Source organism: Homo sapiens, chromosome 8 (genome assembly GCF_000001405.40).
Source record: "Homo sapiens chromosome 8, GRCh38.p14 Primary Assembly".
Lineage (NCBI taxonomy): Eukaryota > Metazoa > Chordata > Mammalia > Primates > Hominidae > Homo > Homo sapiens.
The window spans coordinates 32,719,675-32,744,210 of NC_000008.11; the positions used below are offsets into that span (position 1 = coordinate 32,719,675).

The following is a 24,536-nucleotide window of genomic DNA, read 5'->3' on the forward strand; positions in this document are numbered from 1 at the left end:
CTATTTTAAGTGTTGATATTCGAATTTTTCTCCTTTTTTCACTCTTTGTTTGATTCTAGCCCTAGCTCCCTTTGTCTCTTTTTTCTACGTTTAACTTTTTTTTAAAGAAACCAGGTTGTTTGTCCTGTAAAGTTCTCTGGGTTTTATTGCATCCCCTCTTGATGCCACTTAATTTAGTCCCTGTTGGTTACATGTATGTGGATGTTTGATTAAATTCAGGTTTGATTTTTAAAGATAATACTGAATAGTTTTACAAAAATTGACTTTCTAATTTCATCAAAGGTTGATTCGGTATCCATTGAAATGACCATATGACTTTTATTTGTTGATGTGCCATGATGTTTTTTTTTAAATTTGTTGAATAAGATAATGAATTTACCTTATGATTTCTCTCTTTTGACCTTTCAGCTACTTTCATTTCTAAGTGGGCTTTAGTTGGTGAATAAATTAACATGTCATTAAATGTCACATGGTAATTTCAGTAGCTTGTTGAATAACTGAATCCTTGATTCTTGTTGGATGTTCAGTCCTCTTTGTTTTGATTTGTTTTGCTTGGTACGAAAGATTTGACTAGTTTGGAAAGTGACAGGTTAACATTTTCTACATTGACTTGACCTTCTTCCACCCAAAATGATCCTGGTAGAAAATGCAGAGTATAGTAAAGAATGTGTGCCTTCCACATTTAGCCTGGTGAGGTCTATAAATATATCAAATTAAGCCAGTCAGATGGCCTGCTGATATTTGCTTTGCAGGCTAGACGGATTGTACTCCTTTAGAATCTAAGTATTGATGGAAAAAGATTCAAGGGACAGCTTGAAAGTTTGTGGACTCCGGCTATGGAAATTTTATACTCATATAAAACTGTCAGTGATTAGTAGAAAATATGTAGCAGAACTGTGTTTCTGGAATTGGCTTCTCAGCTAAGAAAAGATTATTGGCTTTGTGAAGAAGAAAATGTAGCTTTCTTGTAACTCCATTTAGTCAATTATCCACTATGGGAAGATACTTTTCTTCTTCTTTGGAAAAGCTATGACATCCTCCATGGTATTCGTATCATTGAGATGTTTCTCCTGAGAAATAGTAGACTTAGGATGATTAGACTGTGCCATGAGTAAAATGCACTGTCTGAAAAAAACAGAAAAAAAACAGCAACTTGTAGGTTTGAAAAATAACCTTTCCTGGCAATCTTATTATTCTAAGGATAACACTGTCTAATGACACCAAATCATTTGCTCAGCCACTGCTGGGAACTTAGAATCTGCTTTCTGTTTAGCTACAAATGAGATCAGTGTTACAACAAAAATTATAATTTTGTTTTATCAGGAGAAACACCCAAAGGTCACTTTTCATTCTGCTGAATAGGAAGAAATGATATCAGGGTCTGCCCAGAAAGCTTGTAAGGGAGAAAGGAATCTTACCCACTTAGGAAGCATTTTCTAATTCACTTATGTGACCTTGGGCAGCCTTCCCCTGTGCACTTTTGTGAATTCTTAGCTAGAGGTATTTTACTAAAGACTGCAGAACTATTCTTTTGAGATGATCTGTATCCTCCTTTAAAATATAGGATAAACTATAAAATGTGCTAAGATCCTTGATAGTCCTATCATTCTATATATGTTTGAACAATGCCAAAGCCCAAGTTCATCAGTTAAACCAGTTAATCTCCATTGGCCCTTGGTGTCAACTTGTTCTTTGGACAAAGTGTCACCTTGTAGGAAGTCTACAAACCTCTAAGTGCTCCCAGCGTATTAGCTAAGTCCTGAGCTCCATGGAGTTGGATGCCCTAATTCTGCTTTAGAAAGTCCTAGTTCCATTAACCGTCTCCTGAGAATTCTCCTGGCTTCCCTTTTTGTTTCTTGAGCAGAGTTCAGTCAAGGAGAGGTCAAGAGAGATGATACATTACTTCCAGTCACTGTATTGGCTCTGGGAACCTCCAACTCTATGCAGGTTCTTTGATCTCCTCTGGCCACTTTCTTTCTTTTTCAAGTACATATTTGCTATTCAGCAAAGGATTGAATGACTTCTCAGGAAAAAATGCCAACCCAGAATGACAAGGCTTCCGTGGTTCTGAGCCTGGCTCTGAACCTTTCCTTTGGAAAACTAATGACTCCACCTATCATTCCCTTGGCATCTAGAGAAGCTACATTAGGTGGCACAGCTCTTTCTGCTCAGCTTCTGCTCCAGAGCTTCATCTTCAGGAACCACCTAAGCATTTTTTTCCCCAGTAGGAGTTCAGTCTGCTCATTATACCTAATTGCAAAGGAGCTATATTCAGAGCAAGAATAATAATTTCAGATTTTTTAACTGGACTTCAAAGAGCAGGAAAGTATGCAGATTCCTAAACACATAAGCATTGAAGATATTACAGGTAAGGTTAAAAAAAATCTGTAATTTTGTAGTGACTAGCAGTTTAATATTCAAACATTTAAAATGTGCATATTTTATTAAGCAAATGGCGTAGAGTTATTTGGTTTAATTTTCTGTAAGTAACTCGTAAAGAATTGTCCTAAAAGCTGTGGGTGAGGACTAATTCATTCAAGGGAAACAGGATCTAATGATTGCTTTGTGAGGTATATATACACTGTATACTCATGCTAATTCCTGCTAATTGTCAAAGAAGAATAGTGGCTTTTTATCAGCAGTTTGCATTTGTGTAATGGTCCTGGTCTACTGGTTTTGTCTACTTCACTGATAAGGAAAACACCACTTAAAACAAGCAAGAAAAGCAAGCCATCCTTTACAGTATTATTTTCTTTTTAGCCTGTCTTGAGAAGAAAAAAACCTAGCCTTCTACAGGAAATACTGTTTGATTCCATGGGAAAATATTTAGTAACAAGCAGAGAACACTTGATTATTTCTCAGCTATTTATTCTGAGTATTTACAAAATGGGCAATAGTATTATTTCCAAAATCTTAAGTTGTAAACGAAGTTTATATTACAGTCTACATGCTATGGATATGACACTATTTTAAAATATTTTATACTTTAAAAAATTGTTATAACACATAATACATAATATTGTAAGTAAGTTTAATTCTTGTAATTTGGAAATTCAGTCAGAAATATTAAAGAATTATGTAGATCTTGAAAGGGTAAAATAATCCTGCATTTATGATATTAATTTCTCTTAAATTGTTCAATTTTATTTTATAAGGAAATTAAGTGGTTATACATTTTTGACAAGTAGTTTTGATAAAGTTAAACACAGATTATTGATATTTACTTAATGCTTTATAATCACTCAATGATTGTCACTCCAAATTAGGCCATCTTTTTTCACATTTTGCAGAAGAATAATTTCCTAAGAAACAACTATTGAGGCTTGGTTATATATGTAACATTTCAGTCTGGGCAGAATTTCTTTTTTTACTTTTGTTTGCTCAATATTTATGTCATTAGTAATAGTAACAGTATCATATATTTGTGTGCAGTGTTGCAACTGACAAAGTGTTTTAATAAACTTGGCAACAACCCTTTGGTATCCATTTTTGCAGCTGAATTTTCTAAGACAGGTAGATAGAGAGAAGTCCCACAGCTAATAATTGGAAAATTGTGCCTTGGACCTGATTCTTCCCAGCCAACTTCAGTGTTCATTTCAGTACATTTTATCTATGAAGGGTTTCTTCTAGGGAGAGTTGGTCATGGTCTTACAATTTTTAACCCCAGTGATTTTGGTTGTTATCATTATGTCTTGCACATAATAAACAGTCACTAAAGAATTGTGGGTCAGGCGTGGTGGCTCACGCCTGTAATCCCAGCAATTTGGGAGGCTGAGGTGGGTGGATCACGAGGCCAAGAGATGGAAACCATCCTGGCCAACATGGTGAAACCCCCTCTCTACTAAAATGCCAAAAAAAAAAATTAGCCGGGTGTGGTGGCGCATGGCTGTAGTACCAGCTAGCTACTCAGGAGGCTGAGGCAGGAGAATTGCTTGAACCTGGGAGGCAGAGGTTGCAGTGAGCCAAGTTTGTGCCACTGCACTCCAGCCTGGCAACAGAGCTAGACTCCATCTCAAAAAAAAAAAAAAAAAAAAAAAAAAAAAACAATTGTGGAAGGAGGTGAGGAAGGAAGGACGGAAATAAGGAAGGAGGGAAAGAAGGAAGGAAGGAAAGAAAGAAGGGAGGGAGGGGCAGGCTGAAAGGAAGAAAGAAGAAGGGCATGAAGGAAGGAGGGAGTCCTTTTGTGTGGTAAAGGATTTTTGGAACCTCTAAATGATAATAGTAGTCCCCCAGTTCTCAGCTATTTCAGAGAACTGTCCAGCTTCCCCAGCAATGATCATTTGTCCTGACCTTTTTTGCCAAGGCAAACCAGGTCTAGAGTAAAATACTACAAAATACATTCTCTGGTATTAAAAAGGAATGGCCAAAACCGTAATTACTTTTGCACCAACCTAATAGTAAGTTTCTGCTTTACCTTATACTTTCTTCCTTATAATACTGTAGTTGTTGACATACCAAGGAAAGTGTGTTTGGGATAAAGTGGTCACATAAATGGCAAACATCAAAGTAATGTCAGATTTTGTAGTGTTTCTAATTGCTGTTCATTTTGTAGTCACTAGAAGACAACTTACAAATTGTGAAAAACTAGTCATAAATCAGAGGGAGACAAGGTTTAGTGAGATCCAGTTCACCTCCTTCCTGGAACAACTATTGGGGGGTATCATCTTTTATATATTGAAACATATTTTATCTTCCAAATCTTTAGTTTACCTTTAATACAACTCCTCCCAGCCCCCCCAGAAAGAATGCTGTTTGCTCTGATTGGCATAGGACCGGCTTTGTCGGTTTCATTACATCCTGGTTGAATTACCAAATGGAAACTGATTTAGGAATACTGAGTGTGTACGGCACAGAGAAAAAATATCACTGCGAAATTTATAGGCCTGTGTAAGACTGTCAGGGCCCTGTGTTCAAATAAAGAGAGCAAAAGGAAACCTGGCGAAAATCACCATCTCCATCCCGGCTTCTTCCGACAATTACAACTTATTCCTGTGCTTGGCTGCTGGTTTGGAGCAGCTGCATCCACTCAGGTAACACTTCGCATCACCTGGGAGCTCATTGTTGCCTTACAATTCGTGATCATTTTTTGATCTCACTACTGCTAAAGGATAAAAGTGCTAAGCATAATAATCCATAACTGTATGAGATACTTGCTACTTCATTTCCCTCCAAGAATCATTTTGCTATGAAATATCCCATTACTAGTTTCAGGTAATGATCTAAGAATTTTTTAAATGACTATGTCAGAGCTAGGGGCTTCAGGATAGCATTACAAGGATAATCATTTCAGAGAGTTATATTTTTAAGGCCTTTTAAAAAGAGGGTTGTTTCTAGTTTTTAACATATTTGTTAATCTTATTTTGATGATCTCATAAAATCAGAGTCTAAGGAAGAGATGTGTCTATGTGTTGCTTATGTCACTGCTTTTTTTTATTGTTTACATTTTATAAGGAGTGTCTACATTTGGGGGGGAGTTGGAATGTTGGTTTTGTTGTTTTTAGCAAAAGCCTTGGCATTTGTCCTGAGAGAGCTCATGCAGTGTTTGCTGTTCAGGTTGCATGAAGGGCAATCTTTAGCAACCTGTCAGAGATGCAAAGGCCACTAGGGTCTGCTTGAGGTTCAGAGTTCCTCTGCAGGACTGCGTGGTGACAGCACACCACAGGTGGCCCATTCAGCACTGTCATCTGGGACAGCAAGGATACCCTGCTCCATTTGTCATCCTATGGAATTCTGTCAGCAGTTGAAAGCCTTTCAGCACAAAACCTTTAACATTCGAGGCAAACTTCCTAATTTTTTTTTTTTTTTTTTTTTTTTTTTTTGAGACAGAGTTTCTCTCTGTCACCCAGGCTTCAGTGCGGCAGTGCAATCTCGGCTCACTGCAACCACCACCTCCCAGGTTCAAGCGATTCTCCTGCCTCAACCTCCTGAGTAGTTGGGATTACAGGGGCACGCCACCATGCTTAGCTAATTTTTGTATTTTTAGTAGAGACGGGGTTTCACCATGTTGGTCAGGCTGGTCGCAAACTCCTGACCTCATGATCCTCCCATCTCGGCCTCCCAAAGTGCTGGGATTACAGGCGTGATCCACCGTACCCAGCCCATTTCCTGATATTTTTAAAGGCAATTGCCGTGGATGAAAATATTAATACATAGCACCTAAATAAGTAGTTTTTTACATGAAAGGATATTATGTTAAGATTATATGCTGTGTGATATATAGAAATGTTGTATACTCCATGATTTTACAGACCAAACAATGCAAATCATGTTTCCCCTCTTCTTAATGAAGATGTTAAAGTATAACTGATAATTGATGGTAAAAATCACCTGTCTACTCATTCTTTCTTATTCCTTTTGTTTAGTTTGTTTGCTTTGTAAGCCTGGAAAAGATGCCTTGAAATGTATTTTGAAAATAGCTTTTTGTTGGAGTAATAAAAAATTAGTCCAATTCTTATTTATCCATAGTAATGATTCCAGAATAACATGCACATCCTTAGGAATAAAGTTCTCCTTTAAAAAAATAAATAAATAGCATACATCTTTGAAGTCCCCAGATTTCCATTGTCAAGATTTTTCTCTCTTATACATACCCAAATTAAGAGCCTTCCCTGCTTGCCCATTAATATTTGCTATTATTCATTGAATGCCAATTTTTTTTTGCCAATTCCTTTATCTAGATTATTTATAACCTCTACAGAATTCTGTAAGAGTGCCATTACCCCTCTTTTCTTAATGGGAATATTGAGCATCTGAGTGGTTAAATGACTTATTCAAAGCCAGTAGGAGACAAGACTTGAACCACATCTGTCTCCAAATCCAAGTTGTTTTGAGTGTCTTTTGCTGTTATTCGAAAAAGCCATGCTGAGATCAATGAAAGGGGTCCAAAAACATGCCTTAGACAGGATAATAAGAGGTAAGCAAGGCCATGAGTAATTCAGAAATGGAATAATCAGATATTGAGTATTCCAGTCAGATAGAATAAAAATCAAGCAGGGGAGAAGACAAAATTAGGTTATGTGTCACAACAAAATGTAGACTTTCGAAGGAAATGAACAGGAAAGGCAGAAGAAAATGGAAAAGTAATACATGGCAGGTCAAATAAAAGTAAACAAGGTCATATGAAACTCACATGCAAATAATAAAGTAGAAACTAGTAAGGAAGACAGAAAGGAATTAAAAAGGAATTAAAAATTCATAAGAATGTTATCAGTAGACAAGACAAAAAATTGCCTCTAAAGATGGATTTTTTTTTTTTTCCTAAAAGAGTATATAGAATCTGTACTGGCTTGATATACTGGTTTTGCTTTTCATCCTGAAAATATCATTGATAAACATTGTGTATATTAGACTATTTTTGGTTGGGACTGAGTATTGCCCATGGTGTTCCCAATGATATGAGAAGAAACATCCTGGTACTAAATGCCCTGGTGGCCTGGGGCTGAGAGCTTTGGCTTTGTATAATTCATGCACCCACTTTCATGTAACATGAAGTTTGACAAGTGAATATTAAGTTCATTATATGAAGGTGTTGCAAACCAAACTTGAAACTTATTTCTACCTCTCATTCTAAATGGAGATATTTTGTAGTGCTTTAGTCTACATTTACAGTGATATTAGACTCTTTCCATTTCCTTAAAAGTATGATGGCGTTTGGACATTCAACCATGTTCCTCTAAGAAATTAGAGTAGAAAAGAAATTTAGAAGAGAATGGCTTCTAATCTGCATGTTGATATGTATCTGACTAATAATCTATAATGTTTTCATTTGGAACAAATAAGCCAACTTGTGTTTCTTTTTCAATATATACATCATGTCTAAAAAATGTAAAGTCAATAGGCATGTAAAACATTTCAAAAATAAATAATTTTATCAATTGATTGCCATTAAAAATAGATGTCTAAATTGAGCTGCACTGACATGACTTTATACCATTACCTTGAACCTTCCTGAGAAATGTATTTTGCTTAATGACAATAGAGCTTCTCTTTTCCAACTACCTGGAAGATAAAATATTGGTTAAAAAATGTTGAGCCTCTTTTCCTATTTAGTTATAGTAAAATTAGTTAACTCTATAATTCTCTCTTTTATAATTTGATTCTATGTAGTGAGACCACAAACAGCTTAACTTCTCTGCTATTGTTTGTAAGGTCTGCAAGTTTAGTGAAATCTGTACCTTATATGAACTCTTCCTTTTAGGATAATTTAAGATTAAAGGCTGCTTAGAAGGGGGAAAAAAAGTCCATGTTAACCTTTCTCCTTTCTCTCCTCTTCAGCTACATCTACATCCACCACTGGGACAAGCCATCTTGTAAAATGTGCGGAGAAGGAGAAAACTTTCTGTGTGAATGGAGGGGAGTGCTTCATGGTGAAAGACCTTTCAAACCCCTCGAGATACTTGTGCAAGTAAGAAAAGAAATCCTGTGTGTCGCTTATGTCTATAACTCCTTGTTTCAGATGATTCTATGTCTCATGATGTATTGTTGCTTTTTTTCCAATTTTGTTGCATCATGTTGAATAATGCTGTTTTATATGTAGAGTGTTTTAAAACATTCACACCATTCGTCATCACTCCTCTGTCATATGCAGAATTGTTTTTTGCTCTTTTCAATGTGTGTGAGGTGTTTTTTGTTTTTGTTTTTGTTTTTTGCCATGTTATTTATAGTGTTGCTTTCCTTGTGGTTTTTCTTGTTGTTATTCAGAAAAGATGTGCAGATATCACAGAGGCCTATAACTTTTGGTATCTACTTCTACATCCAATGTATGAATTAAGCTGTAAGATAATGTTGCTTTCTTATCCCAGTGATCACCTGCCAAATGAATAAGACAACAAAGAGAAGCAGAAGGGCAGAAGATTATTTACTGACATATATCTATTACACTTGGGATTGTCTTACTGTTGCATAACTATTTTTTAAACGGAGTTTAGTTTTATATTGCTAGTAAAAAAAGAGAAAAAAGTAAATTGCATATATTTGGAAATACATTGTATGTAGCATCCCTGTGGGTGACAGCAGTGTTCTTTCATTTGTCTATAGATATATCTAGAATAGCACTGTCTTTCCAATGACCTGAAGGAGTTGATGCACCATTAAGAAGTATCCAATTTAGGCCTGGGCACAGTGGCTCACGCCTGTAATCCCAGCACTTTGGGAGGCCGAGGCGGGCAGATCACGAGGTCAGGAGATTGAGACCATCCTGGCTAACACCGTGAAACCCCGTCTCTACTAAAAATGCAAAAAAAAATTAGCTGGGCGTGGTGGCACACGCCTGTAGTCCCAGCTACTCGGGAGGCTGAGGCAGGAGAATGGCGTGAACCTGGGAGGTGGAGCTTGCAGTGAGCCGAGATTGCACCACTGCACTCCAGCCTGGGTGACAGAGCGAGACTCCGTCCCAAAAAATAAAAAAAATAATAAAAATAAAGAAGTATCCAATTTATTCTCTCTCAACAGGCAGCGTAAGATAGTGATAGTATCAGTACATTAAATATTTAAACCTTGTAGTAAAAACTAATAGGACTCATTAAAAAGTATGTTTATTTTGCCATGCATTTTAAGTTTACTGTTGATATTTAGTCTACATATGGTATATGGACTTAAAATTTGATGTGGGCATAAAAATATATTTAATATTTTATTGAAATGATGAAAATACACCTTTGTTTTCCTCTTTACCAACAGCTATATCCCAAAAGCAAGGTATTTTAAAAGTCGTTCCTTAAAAAATGTAATGTAGAACATCTAATAAATTTTGCCAGCAGTCCCCAGCGAAAACATGCAGTGGGGACATTATTCTAAAGCAGCAATGCTTGTTCTAAAGGAGGGAAAACCATTTTGTCACAAAAACTGTTTTCTGCTAGAATATTGGCGTGTGACTTAAATCTTGACAAGGAAGAACAAGTCTGTTAGAGAGGCAATTGAACTGATAGGAGCAATTAGCAAAATGAAAAAGGCACCAGAAATAGTCAACAAAGCCATGTCCCTTTTACATCACAGAAATACTATATAAATATTTAGGTGCCAATTCTAATAAAATCTTAATTATATTTATAAGTAAGGAAGTGCATCTTAAAAAACATATGTTTTAAAGACAAAAAAAGCAACGATCGAAAATGCCATTTTGTAGGCCATGTTTTGCTGCTCTCTGAGCTGTGGTAGATTGGGCGTGTCTGTAGCGTGCCTGATGGGACCTCATGGCTCTGAACAAGCACCTTCCAGAACTTCTCCTTTGTTGCACTCTAAAGCTCTTCTTTGAAAAAAGTAGATACAGTGCCAAGACAAGTGTTGGTGGTTGTATAGCTGATTTTATCAAAGACAGACAATTTGTAAAAGTAAATGTAATCTGTTAGAGTGAATAAAAGACTTAGAGCCAGAACAGTAAAATTCTAATCTCAATTACTAAACATCTCTTTCACGGAAATAAATAATTTTTATAAGCCAAAGTGAAATGATAGGTAAAAGTCTTGCAAAAAATATTAAAGCAAGATGAAATACGAGTATGAGGCCAGGTGCATGCCTGTAATCTCAACACTTTAAGAGGCCGAGGCAGACGGATCTCTTGAGCCCAGGAGTTGGAGACCAACCTGGACAATGTAGCAAAACACCATTGCTACAAAAAATACAGAAAAATAATTAGCCGGGCATGGTGGCATGCACCTGTAGTCCCAACTATTCGGGAGGCTAAGGTGGGGGGATCACTTGAGCCCGGAAGGTTGAGCCTGCAGTGAGCCAAGATCATGCCACTGCAGTCCAGCCTGGGTGACAGAGTAAGGCTGTCAAAATAAATAAATAAATAGAATAAAAAATTAAAAAAAGAGTATGTAGAAAAGATCATTCCTTTTAGATCTGAATTATCTCATACGACTATGTTTATTGTTTAAAAAATAATCTTAGAGATTCACTTCTTGGTCACTAAAATATTCAAATCTATATGCTTGCAGCAGAATAAAAATCTGTCTGATTTAGTCTTTAGTTCTGCTGACTTGCTGTGAATACAGCACAAATATGAGACATCCCCATATTTATCATAGCAAATTGGGATGAACCAGGTTTTTAGTTTGTAAGGTTTTCTCTGATCAAAATAGAAAATGCCAGAAGCTGAGAATTGTAATCTATAAAATATGAGGTTCATTTGTTATATGGGGAAACCTTGTTATTTTTTCCTAATCTTAAGCATACAGTGTAATTGTATTTTAATAAATCTCCTTGAAAAAGCATTTAAATTATAGGTCCTTAAATTCTTCTCCTTTTTAAACAGTGTACCCATATTATCTATGTCTCATATTTTTACTTCTTCAGAAAAGCATCTGAGACCACTATATTTTAATTATAGTAATGAAATATGATCATTTTTCATCATCACTTAGCAAAGATTTACAAGCTGAGTGAGTGCATATGATAGTTTCTGCATACCTCTAAGGAACCAGGGCAGTTCTTTTCCACATATTAATTTCAGCTATTCTTTAGCCCTCCCACGTCCAATACAAAACATGCAATCGCGTAAGTGCTGTTCAGTTTTTTCATTTTAATATTGTGCCAACAACTGCAATTTTTCTTCACTCAACACAGTTTCTCATTAAATCTTAAGCCTAATCCAGTAGTAAAAACGTGCTATATTTTAAAAATCTTGAAGTGAAACATTTGTTACTCTTCTGATAATTATTAAAGCCCCAAGCCATCCTCTGAGCTAATTGTCTAGTGGATCATTCTTGCCTTCTAGTTCTAAGAAATTACACCTTTTTTTTTTTTGTAATTAGGATCTTTTAGGTAAGTTATTTAAATTATTACTGGATCTTATCAGAAAGAAAATCTTTGACATCTATGATTTTGATAACTTCCCCCTCCTTTGAGATGGTGACTTTATTCACATATTAAAGCAAGCCAGAACCTTGAGGGAAGAATTGGAGAGTATATTTTACATCCAAAATACTTCAAACCTTTCTCGTTACATGAAACTGTTTTTATTTTTTTAAATCCTGTATGTAAAATATGTATAGCATTAAAAATAATCACTAGTCAGAATTTAAACAAAGACATAATATACTAGGTCTTATGATAATACATTGTTCACTAGACCACTTGAATAGAAACAGAAGACATAAAAATATTGCATTGGCTCATCATGGTCCTGTCTATGAAGCCAGTTCATAGTTTCCATATGGTCTATCTGTCTAGAGCTAAGCATTGCTGAAGCATGAGCCACATCATTGAAAATCAGCTTTATCCCTGACTAAAGACATGACTCAGAAACACCACAAGCATGGAAGTTTCCAAGTAGTCTCTCTGGTCACCTAATCTGCTGTTGTCTTCTTGGGAGTTGAAGTAGAAGATGTTACAGCAAATCTCTTTTGTCTCTCTGCTTAGAACAAGGTGTTTCGAATGGATTAAACATATTAACAGTGAAAAACTTCTCTGAGGAGAGGTTTCCGGATTGCTTGGACCTCCTCCTGGGGACTGTGTGGGAATTTCAGTGGTAGTTCTCATCTTTTATATTTTGTTTCTCTACAGTAATTTAAAATTTATTCTGTGGAAAAAATAGTTACTATTCCAGATTATAAAAAGATGAGAAAAGAATCATTCCATTTTGTACCCTCTGATGCTTTATGTAGTCCTGTGGTTCAAAGAAACAAGACACATGAAATCAAACATGAAATTGTCCAGATTTCCTCTTGCATCTTTTCTCTATTCTTGTGTATCTGTTCTTCTGAACAGTTTCAGTGGAGAACTACTTTGGAAGATGTTGATGTGATTTTTTTTAATCTAAAAATTATTTTATATCAGGCTGTGCTTATAAGTCCAACATGTTGTCCAGTGGACAGATGTGCCTTCATCTGGAGGGGATTAGAGTTTTAAACTACCAATTTTGGTGAACAGTCTTATGTCCTTTCACTTCAACTCTCTGGACAATATATTTATTTATAACATGAAGTTAATATGTTCTCCAAATTTCTTCCCAGGGAGTCAGTGAAATTAAATGAGTTCATTTCTGCTAAAGTACTTTTAACTCTGGGGAAGCAAAATTTATTTTTCCTTATAATAAAAAGTAAATGGTAGTATTACATTCTCTCAGTAGACATTGGAAAAATATATACACCTGTTTTAACAGACTGTGTTATCATGTTTAATTTCTTTTTTTTTTTTTTTTTTTTTTTGAGATGGAGTTTCATGCTCTTGTTGCCCAGGCTGGAGTGCAATGGTGCAGTCTCAGCTCACTGAAACCTCTGCCTCCCAGGTTCAAGCGATTCTCCTGCTTCAGCCTCCCAAGTAGCTGGGATTACAGACATGCACCACCATGCCCAGCTGATTTTTTGTATTTAGTAGCGACAGGGTTTCACCACGTTGGTCAGGCTGGCCTCAAACTCCTGACTTCAGGTGATCCACCTGCCTTGGCCTCCCAAAGTGCTGGGATTACAGGCATGAGCCACCATGCCTGGCCCATGTTTAATTTCTAATTCTTTATTTTACTTAAGAGTAGCAGTTTTATTTGGTTTGTTGGGACCACCAACTATCTTTATAACTTTTCTTTGACAGATCGTTTAATATTTCTGATCATTAGTTTCCTTATAATGCAAAAACAACAAAAAACAAACTAAATTTGGAAAGATGGAAGGTATCTGTAAACATAGACTTTTATAATTTTGTATAATGAATGTTTATGAAGCCATGTAGGGCCTTATTATATTATACATTATTATAAGAGACAGGTATGAAAAACATAACTATGGGAGACAAAATCACAGCAAATATAATACTTTAAGTTTGATAGATAAAATATTTATCAAACGTATTTGATAATATATATAATGTAAATGAAATATTTATCAAATTATGCCTGAGGTCGCAATTTTTTTAATTTTTGCAATCAGACCTTGGCAATGACCTTGAGCAGTAGGGTATTAAAATCTTCCACAGGCTTAGCGTCCCAATAATGGAACACTAAGCATAAATGGATTAACATTTGTTTATAGAACAGCTATTTGCCAGGCACTTTTTAAAACACAGAGAAAATATAAGGAATGGTGTCTGATCTCTGGGAACTCAGTCTGTTAAAGAAAATGAAATTGCTAAAATAGAAAATCAATGAGTGAATATATGCCAAATGGTACAATGCTGACTATTAAGGTAATACAAATTTAAAGAAGGGAAAGAAAAGACTGAAATAAGTTAGAGAAGACTTTTTAAATATAATCATCATTTATAGAGTCTTTCCTTTATACCAGGAAGGCATTGTGGTTGTAGGAATTCTTTCTCTGAGACACGGTAACATGCAGCTTAATTCTAGGAAGTAAAACAAACAAATGAACAAAATAAAAGAACTAAGTTAAACAGTGGAGCCACTTAATGACCTCTGAAGGTCAGGCAGAGGACTTTGGGTATTGTAATAGCTAACAGGGAGCCATAGTAACATCTGGAGCAGAAGAGTGGCACCATAGACATAGCAGATGTTTAGGGAAGCGAGTCTTCCTTACAGGCTAGAAGAAGTCTGGGGACTAAGTAAGATGGAAAGAGAAAGTCAAAGACATCAAAGGCACTAGCTAAGGTTAACATTTTATAAAATACTGACATAATGATGCTGATGATAGTAACTTTTATAATATGTATTAGTAGCTGAATTAATATAATTAAACAAGGGGGCAACGGTACAAACTCACAGTTGTGTCCTGCAGTCTCATCATCATGGCTGCAGAAAGAGAAATTTGGAAAAAATAAACAGGACTGGGTTAGAACTTCCAGTCTATAAGAACACACTTTTGTTGTATTTGTAGTATTTGTTGTATTTGTAGTATTGCTGCTAACACCAATACCAGCCTAGAAGAGTTCTTTCTTTAGAATCAGTGTTACACTTGCCTGTGGTACTTCTCTGTTCTTGAATATTGTAACATTTAACAGATATAGACAGCATTTGTGAGAGCAAGTGGTGGGACTCATGTGGATCTAGATAGTGCGCTCTTCAGACGACTGTGTCCTCTATTTCTTTCATGTCCTCATATATCTAGAATCCTACTATGTGCTTATGAGGAATTTATTAACTCATTTAGACTTTTAACTCACTGAAGTAGGGTTGAAGAAAATTCTTTAGTTTTTATAGGATTCAGTTTAGGTGTAGTTTTACCTAAAATCAGGTGCATTGTCTAAGTGTTCTGAATAGCTTCATTCCTCACTTATAAAAATCAGTTGAGCAGCCATGTACATTTATTGAACTCATATGAGACAGGCTCTGTGCTCATGCTACAGACAAAGTAGTGAACAAAACCATACTGGTCTTTGCCTGATGGAGTCTGTAGGCTACTGCAAGTAACAATCATGTTTCATGTAATTAATTGAATTATAAATCACAGGTTTGCCAAGTGCTATGAAGGATATTAATTGAGCTAAGGGAATGTACAATGAAAGACCTAGTCAGAGGCTGACTCTGCTCTGTGGAAAAAAGAATAAAAAAAGAGTATGCAGTCATACTCTTCAGATGTATATAGAGTCAATTTAAAATATTTCATTGTGTATATATACCACATTTTCTTAATCCATTCATCTGTTGGTGAACACTTAAGTTGATTTTATAAGTTGGCTATTGTGAATAGTAGATTTTTTTATAACTTGGCTATTGTGAATAGTGGATTTTATAACTTGGCTATTGTGAATAGTGGATGAATATTTTAGCTAGATTGATTTAATTATTCAACGTTGTATTCATAAATCATAACATCATTTTCTACCCCATAAATGTATACAAGTACAAATTGTCAATTTACAGGAAAACGAATACACAATTTTGAAATATTTATATTGAATGATTTAAGGAAAAAGTGAATATTTAGATGTTTTATCACAGAATGAGGCTGGTGAAGTGGATAAGGCTATAAAGCCCCTCAGAACCCCTAAGCTGTTTGACGAGACAGGGAAACTTCCTCAAGAGAGGAAAACCAAACCACAAATTAGCAGTCGATATGTCATTGTGTCACAATGACGTGGAGATGTATGGGATGTAGATTGATCCCACATCCAATGAAATTGTTTGACCCCCAACTTAAGGATTCATCATGTAGAGTAAACATGGGCAAGGGTTTTAGTCTTTCTGCAGATGAGCATTTCAGAGCAAGCTGTGCAAACAGAGATTTAGGAAGGGCACCAAGGTTCAAACAAGAAGTTAATTCACAAACACCGCCACCCTCATTATTGGGATTATATGTCCTGGACATTGAAAAACAACATTTGAAAAGGCAGGACAAGTTAGGTTTGGTTTGGTTTTGTTTTTTTCTCAGCATTTACCCATGAGTCTAGTGTGGCCACTCTATGTATCCTCTTATCTCATGGATTGGAAACTAGTCCCCAGATTGTCATTAAAAAAAAAATGGAGGATATATACTGTCTGAACAGTGGTGGTGAGATATAGGTTGGATCTGAAGGAAACATTACTGGAACATTTTATATTTAATATTTTCTTTAATGATGTTAAAGAAGGCATTCCCTTGGGGAAATAAATGTCTTTTGCAGATGATGCTAGAAAGAACGCTAAAACACAAATTAGAAAAGCATATGCAAACCTCAAGAAACTTCACTTAAAGGTAGATAACAGAATGAGGTTCATCTTGGAAAAATGCAGACTAATAGTAACAATACCTTTGGGAAAGAATAATCTACAACACAGATACTCAGCCAGTGAGTGGGCGAGTTCTGGGCAGAATGCTGAGCTGGCTAAGAGGTGAGAAAAGTCAATGTTTGCAACACGATACTGTAGGAAAACAGACCAGCATAGTTGGAGCTGGCGTAGACACTGCCACCTCGAGTTTACACAGAGAGAGAGCAAAGGCTTTGGTGTCTGATACTTTCTCACCAATATTCCTTGATAGAGATTTGTTGATATTTCTATCATTTAATATTTGTAAACATAGGCATCAAATAATTTCAAATACCACAGCTAGTATTGAGGAAAAGCAGACAGATAATAGGGACTTTTCATTTTTCGACAAGGTATTTTTTAAATTGTCCAAATATTTCACTGTGGAATGATGACTAGAGAGAGAGGAAATATCAGCTGTATTTTTTTTTCTTCCTCTTGTTCCTGATCAAGGGAGGGTTTGATGAAAATGAAGCTGAGAAGAGAAAGGATGTCTAAGGATGGTTTATAAATTGACCATAAATGTGTGGTTTATAAAATTAGCCAACCCTAACTAGAAGTTTCTTGGGGTCCGTGAATATCTATAAAAACGTCTAGAATCTCCACCAAGAAAAAATGGAAAATAATTTATTCAATTGGAATATAAAAAATACACCAAGCATTAAGTTTATTTCAAAATACATACATCTATGATTGATTACATAGTAAGCATATCAGGATATTAACAGTATATTGAAGTTATTATTAACCACAGTTTTTATTATACTGGTGCTGGGCAGAAGTTTGGTTAGTAGAATGCACTGCTTTATTGAATCTGAAGTAAACTGGTATTTCACTAATAGTATTTAAATTCAAGATAACAGACTTACTTTTAAAGAATCAAAGAATCTTTTCCAAATTGCAAACATGATGTTAAAGGATTTTATTGGAGGGAGGGAGACTGTGAGAAGGATACTGGGAATTTCTGTAAAAATTATTTGAGGGCAGGCACAGCAGCTCATGCCTGTAATCCCAGCACTTTGCGAGGCCAAGGCGGGTGGATCACCTGAGGTTCAGGAGTTTGAGACCAGCCTGACCAACATGGCAAAACCCCGTCTCTACTGAAAATACAAAAATTAGCTGGGCATGGTGGTGCATGCCTGTAATCTCAGCTACTTGGGAGACTGAGGCAGGAGAATTGCTTGAATCTGGGAGGTAGAGATTGCAATGAGCTGAGATCTTGCCACTGTACTCCAGCCTGGGTGACAGAGCGAGACTCCGTCTCAAAAAATAAAAAAAAAATTATCTGGGAGTCCACAGAGGAGAGTGTATCATAAACTATAAAAATAACAGACAGATGTTCAAGATTGACCTGTGCTTGCAAATCAATTAACTGTATGACAATCTTCCTTTTTTTTTTTTTTTTTTTGAGATGGAGTCTCGTTCTGTCACCCAGGCTGGTATGTAGTGTTGTGGTCTCTGCTCACTACAACCTCCGCCTTCTGGGTTCAAGCGATTCTCCTGCCTCAGCCTCCCAAGTAGCTGGGATTACAGGCGCCCACCACCACGCCCAACCAGTTTTTTTATTTTTGATAGAGCCATTCACCATGTTGGCCAGGCTTGTCCTGAACTCCTGGCCTCAAGTGATCAGCCCACCTTGGCTTCCCAAAGTGCTGGGATTACGGGTCTTAGCCACCACACCTGGCCTGAAAGTCTCCTTTGATACAATTGTGGATCAGATACGGACGCTGTGGTCTGATCTTAAGTTCATTTTCACGGACATTTTGTGAGAGCCTATTATGAGCCAGGCATTGTGCTAGGCATTAGAGATACAAAATGATCAGAATGTGATCATTGTCTGACAGAATGTGATCAGTGTGTCACAGATCATCACAATACAGATAAGTGCAGTGAAAGAGGTCAGGATAGGGTGCAATACAAAAGGCAAGGAGAGAATTCTCCCCAGAGCATAGAAGTGGGTGATGGGGAGGTGGAGGACAGGGAAAGAGTGATGCCTAAGTTCAGAAAAAACTGTGAATTTTCACCCCATTAATAACAAATATAGAACAAACATGATCATGTTAAGAGCAAATACTAAAATTTTTAAAAACCCTGATTTCCATCTTCTAATCTGATTAATGAAACGAATGGTATATACATACACACACACACACACACACATATGTATATATATTTAAAGCTACAACAAGTACTTGTTATTCAGATCCTTAGATTGTTCTCAGACATAAAATTCTTGGAATTTGCTCAAACTCATGCCAAAGCTTATTTTTCAAACTCAGGTTTGATTTACTGTTATTCTTATCTTCCAGGAAAGTGATGGATTGAATGTTTAACATACAATGTTGATAATAGAAATGTATCAGAAGCCAGTCTCCCTAGTCTGTTAGAAGTAATTCCACAGAATTTCACAGAGCTTATAGATCAACTGGGTTTTCATTTGCATGTGCTTTCTCTACACAATCAATGCAGTGTGCAGTTTGCATATGCAGAAACTATCTCAGTTTCTGCTTTTCCCTTCCATCTCATTTGGCAACAAATTTAGATGTCTCTGAAGGCTACATCCTTTTGTTGCTGAACACTTGAGTTGCTTGGGCACTTGCAGTTTGTTTTACCTCAACGATTGTCTTAAAAATCCATTTTATCAAGAAGGATTTTTAGAAGTCATTGAGTTCTGTCGTCCCTGACTGGTAATGCATTCAGAAGAAATGATGTTGGGGTTTTCTAGCAGTGATTCCATGTGTTAGAATAAGTATCATTTCCCAGAACCTTAGTGGGAAAAGAGGTCTTTGATAATCACTTAATTACATTCCTTCATTTTATCACTGAGGAAAATGAGACCCCGTAAAGCAAAATAGCGTGTCCATGTGCAAACAGCAAGATACCACAGTGCCGAGAGAGGGCGTTTGCCTCCCTTTTCCCAGTTCAGGGCACCTTACGTCTTGAACTTTAATCTACATCCACATCTCTTAGGGATCTTGTTAAAATGAAGCTTCTTATTCCATAGTTCTCGGCTGTGGCCTGCGTTTACACTAGCACACTCCTAGGAAATGCTGATGCTGTCAGTTCTAAGTAATAACAGGGTCTTATAACACTAAGAAACAATGCTGAGAAAATTCATCTCCCAAATGAAGACAAACACTAGCAAAAGGATAGTTCTGGTTGAGAGGTAGCTGCTATTTCCAAAAAATGACTTTCATACCTCAAGTAGTTCTGGTGTTAGTGCACCCAGTTTTCCGTATGATTTTATGATAGAGATAAGCCATCATCTTATGCTAGCTTCCTAGGAAACATCATGTTAGAAATTCATAGCAGTTAGAAAATTGATTGGGTAGGATTTCTGACTCCCTTTACCTAGTTGTCTTGTGCCTTCTGATCACAGAACTGGTTATAAGATGCCTAATGACAATTTCCTTATAAATGCCTTCCTTCTCTTAAGGAACTCGTGATTCCTTAGCTATTTGTTAATTTAATGATTCTTACTAACGTAAGGGCATTTCCTGCCTTGAGCAATTGTGTGGTGTGTGTGTGTGTCTCTCTTACACATACACAGCGTGTTCACATATCTTATACTATGTTCTTTTGTAAGAAACAAATGGATTATTTGTGCTCAGTATGAGAATTTTAACTTTTATCAAGAATTCAAAGAAGCAGGATGGAATGATAATTACTGAATACATCATTAATTCTGGAAACACCTGCTTTAATTATAGGGTTTGTCTATATGAACTTATAGTCCTGGTAGAGAAACAAATAAAAACCCTATTTACTTCAGAAATAATTTTGTCAAATAAGTTATATGAAAAAAGTTCCCATGTGTTTTTTCTTATATACGTTCAGTAAGAATGTGAAGACATTCTTATTGAAGCATATGAAATGGCGTCTTTTTGAGAAATGACCCAACCTCTTTTTTTTTTTTTTTTTTTTTTGAGACAGAGTCTTGCTCTTGTCTCCCAGGCTGGAGTGCAATGGCACGATCTCAGCTTACTGCAACCTCTGCCTCCCGGGTTCAAGTGATTCTCCTGCCTCAGCCTCCTGAGTAGCTGGGATTACAGGCGCCCGCCACCACACCCAGCTATTTTTCATATTTTTAGTAGAGACAGGGTTTCGCCATGTTGGCCAGGCTGGTCTCAAACACCTGACCTTGTTGTGATCTTCCCACCTCAGCCTCCCAAAGTGCTAGGATTACAGGCATGAGCCACTGCGCCCGGCCAAGCTTATACTTCTTATTGACATGTTTCTCAAGGTAGCTCTTCCTCTATTCCCTGCAGCAAAAATATTCTAAACAAAAATAATCCGTTTACTTATATGAAGGTGTTTCCAAGAGTTTGAAAGAGCTGTGTCAATATAAGATGTTTGTTGTTTAAGCTTAAACACATACTCACAGGGCAAAAAATCTGAAACTGCTAGTATTTTATCGCGCAGGCTATTTTCATAAAGTAGGAGAATTACATATACCAAGTCACTTGGTGAATTGGTTTGAAGGGAAATGAAATTACCCCTATATTGGTAACAAGGAACAGTTTTGTTCATATCTCTTTGATGCCAAAAATATAGTATGTATTCTTATTTACTCTGTAGTGAAAAGGGTTGTGTAAAAATCACTAGGGATGAGCTACCAGAGCTAACTTGGATAGGCTCTTTGCTTGATGGTTGCTGTATAGATGAACTATTAATAATAATTATGATGATGGATGTTGAGGATTCAAAATGATGGTCTTTCTATCTGTAAGTATATTGCTTCCTAGAACCTTTCAGTGGCCCTTTTTATTAGAGGATATACTGGTAAAATCAATCCTACTTAAAATGCTTTAGTTATTAGAGTAACAGCAACAGCAACAACAAAAAAGTGGTAATTATAAAGAGCTTCCATATTTAAGCACAGCCCCATTGCATGACCTTAAGAACAATATTATATCAAGATTCTAGAATTTTGATAGTTAAATATATGTGAGTGAATAACATGAAAAATGTTATACAGTTTTAAAAATAGTTTTTCCTTAAATGCAAAATGACATGTATTAAGTAATTCTGCATAAGAATAACTGATCTAAATTTTAAAATGTATTTGTCTTTGATTTGGGATAATGCAATTAAGTGAAATTTGTCTTGATAAAAATCTGCTTCTAGTATCTTTGAACATTAAAAACAAGAGTTTATTTGTAATGTCTTTTTAAAAAACAGGGAATGTAGTTTTTCTTGTCAATAATCATTATAGTGTGAAAGTACTTGACTTCTATTGTTTAATGACTTAACTTGTAACATAAAACACCCATGAAATAAATACACAATTGAAATAAGTATATAAAAGAAAAAGCTCAAGATCATTTATTGATAAGAGACAGGGATGGAATCATGTTAGCGCTTATCAAAACCAGTGTTTCAACATAGTGAGAATCAATGATCAGTGGCAAATAGGGTCATGCCAAAGGGAAATTGACAGCTCTCCGGGCCATGCTGCCTCTTATTCCACATTTCAACTTCACTCTAGTTAAATTTCAGTTAACCAATCATTTGAAGACTGAAGCAAACAACAACAAAAATCTGTAACCCACAGTTTTCGTGGGACATGGTTTTCTAAATGTTGTGTCTTTTCTTTTCTTTATATTGCTTGGTACCAGATCATTTTTAGGAATCTCCATATTCCATAGGAGGAAAATTGCCAGTCTGAAAGCTCAGTGTCTTTAGCATTTTTTTTTTGCTTACCACATTTTTGCCCTCTAGGTGCCAACCTGGATTCACTGGAGCAAGATGTACTGAGAATGTGCCCATGAAAGTCCAAAACCAAGAAAGTATGTCAAAATAATCTGAAATTTGCTTTCTCCCCCAACTACAGCAACAATCACTACCACTTGGTGCTTTTACAGCTCAGTCGTAACTGATTCATTTTGTTCTAATTATGGCTTAACCTCTCAAGGCATAAACCCATTCAGTGTTACCTTATTTAACTGTCTCTCAAAGTGGGTCCCTAAGTCATCAATTTACAAGAATGGCCAGTCACGATGGCCCGTGATGCTGACAAACTATTGCAGGCAAGCCAACCGAGAAACATTTTCTTCCAACGTGTGTGACCAAAGCCATCATATGGAAAACTGAGATGAATAAAACATCGGATTTCATTTTAAGGGGTTCCCTTTGAAAGAAGGCAACCACTTAAAGTGCTGGGATCTTTCCACCATACCAACTTAAGAACTGCATTCTGTCCAAATTTTTAACCATTTGGGGGAAGTGCCAGAGCCTGAAAGCCATGATCAGGGCAAAGATTCAGTTCCTGAGGGTGAACTCACCAAGTTTCAGTCAAATGACACTGAAGGAGCTTCTTTCTAGCATATATTCACCTCTTCTCTTTTTCTCTGTTTTTCTACCATTGTTTTTTTGTTTCTTCTCTCAGGTGCCCAAATGAGTTTACTGGTGATCGCTGCCAAAACTACGTAATGGCCAGCTTCTACAGTACGTCCACTCCCTTTCTGTCTCTGCCTGAATAGGAGCATGCTCAGTTGGTGCTGCTTTCTTGTTGCTGCATCTCCCCTCAGATTCCACCTAGAGCTAGATGTGTCTTACCAGATCTAATATTGACTGCCTCTGCCTGTCGCATGAGAACATTAACAAAAGCAATTGTATTACTTCCTCTGTTCGCGACTAGTTGGCTCTGAGATACTAATAGGTGTGTGAGGCTCCGGATGTTTCTGGAATTGATATTGAATGATGTGATACAAATTGATAGTCAATATCAAGCAGTGAAATATGATAATAAAGGCATTTCAAAGTCTCACTTTTATTGATAAAATAAAAATCATTCTACTGAACAGTCCATCTTCTTTATACAATGACCACATCCTGAAAAGGGTGTTGCTAAGCTGTAACCGATATGCACTTGAAATGATGGTAAGTTAATTTTGATTCAGAATGTGTTATTTGTCACAAATAAACATAATAAAAGGAGTTCAGATGTTTTTCTTCATTAACCAAACAGTTTGCATTGAGGCATTTTTTTAAAAAAGCATCAAGTAGGAAAATTAAAAACAAACATTTCACAGCAAATGAGATATCCTGGCTTCTGTTTACGTTGCTTAGGGAACAAGTAATTCAGGCACTAGTTTAAACAATTATTTATTTATGTTACCATTTCTTTATGTTAGTTTCAAAAGTAACTTAGAATAAAATAGTTACTGTTATTTGTTTAAATATTTATTTTGAGATATAACAACTCAACTATAGGATAAATATGTGTTTGTATATATATATGTGTGTGCGTGTATATACATATATATATAAAACTTAAGGCAAAACATATATATATATATATATATATAAAACTTAATAACTTAAGGCAAAACTGGGAAGTTTGGATAGATGTTCGTGGCTTCCTGAAGTTTTGAACATCATTCCTAAAAGACCCAATTCACATTGTACATAATTATATAAACCAAACCATGTATTTGTCCTATTGTGAACTGGACACATATAACTTCTGATCCTGGAGCTTTCAAAATATTGCATTTAAAATGCATATCATGTAGTTATCCTTGTAGATGAAAGAATGGCAATTTTTTTCTGTAAAGGTTCAGAGAGCAAATATTTTAGGATTTGTGGTGACACCATCACTGTCACAACAACTCAAACCTACTATTGTAGCATGAAAACAGCTGTAAACAATGCATAAAACTGATGTGCATGGGTGTGTTCCATTAAATCTTTATTTACAAAAGCAGACAGTGGGCTGGATTTGTCAACCACTGATTTAGATTGTCAATTGCTCACCCCGAAAAATATGTCACATAGCTTACTGCAGTTTAAATTCACCTAACATAAGAAACAGTGATGTAAGTTGGTTATTTAGGGGTCCTAAAAGAATCAGATTTACCCTTGTTCTGATGCATGCAGAGAATAAGTTTCTGTAATTCCTGTTAACATAGAAGTTTCCAGA

At 36.1% G+C, this 24,536-nt stretch overlaps 1 protein-coding gene across 28 annotated transcripts in view, besides 2 other annotated features; it reads left to right on the forward strand.

Moving 5' to 3' along the window:
* Positions 1-24,536, forward strand: part of NRG1 (neuregulin 1) — a 1,134,802-nt gene that overhangs the window by 1,080,430 nt on the left and 29,836 nt on the right. For 14 of the 28 annotated variants that reach the window (NM_001159999.3, NM_001159995.3, NM_001160001.3 and 11 more), the window contains 2 exons: positions 8,275-8,404; positions 23,001-23,059. In NM_001159999.3, the coding sequence (NP_001153471.1) occupies positions 8,275-8,404; positions 23,001-23,059 (189 nt within the window). Of the gene's footprint in view, positions 1-2,160; positions 2,369-8,274; positions 8,950-22,333; positions 22,402-23,000; positions 23,552-24,536 lie in introns of those variants that run through there. The other 14 variants (NM_013962.3, NM_013958.4, NM_001160005.2 and 11 more) reach the window with 6 other exon arrangements.
* Positions 1,834-2,404: an enhancer, noted in NCBI's record as "OCT4-NANOG hESC enhancer chr8:32579026-32579596 (GRCh37/hg19 assembly coordinates)". NCBI's record gives its function as "activates a minimal SCP1, AML or CMV promoter by ChIP-STARR-seq in naive H9 embryonic stem cells {active_cell/tissue: H9 hESC(naive)}" and the evidence as "EXISTENCE:reporter gene assay evidence [ECO:0000049][PMID:30033119]".
* Positions 2,405-2,975: an enhancer, noted in NCBI's record as "OCT4-NANOG hESC enhancer chr8:32579597-32580167 (GRCh37/hg19 assembly coordinates)". NCBI's record gives its function as "activates a minimal SCP1, AML or CMV promoter by ChIP-STARR-seq in naive H9 embryonic stem cells {active_cell/tissue: H9 hESC(naive)}" and the evidence as "EXISTENCE:reporter gene assay evidence [ECO:0000049][PMID:30033119]".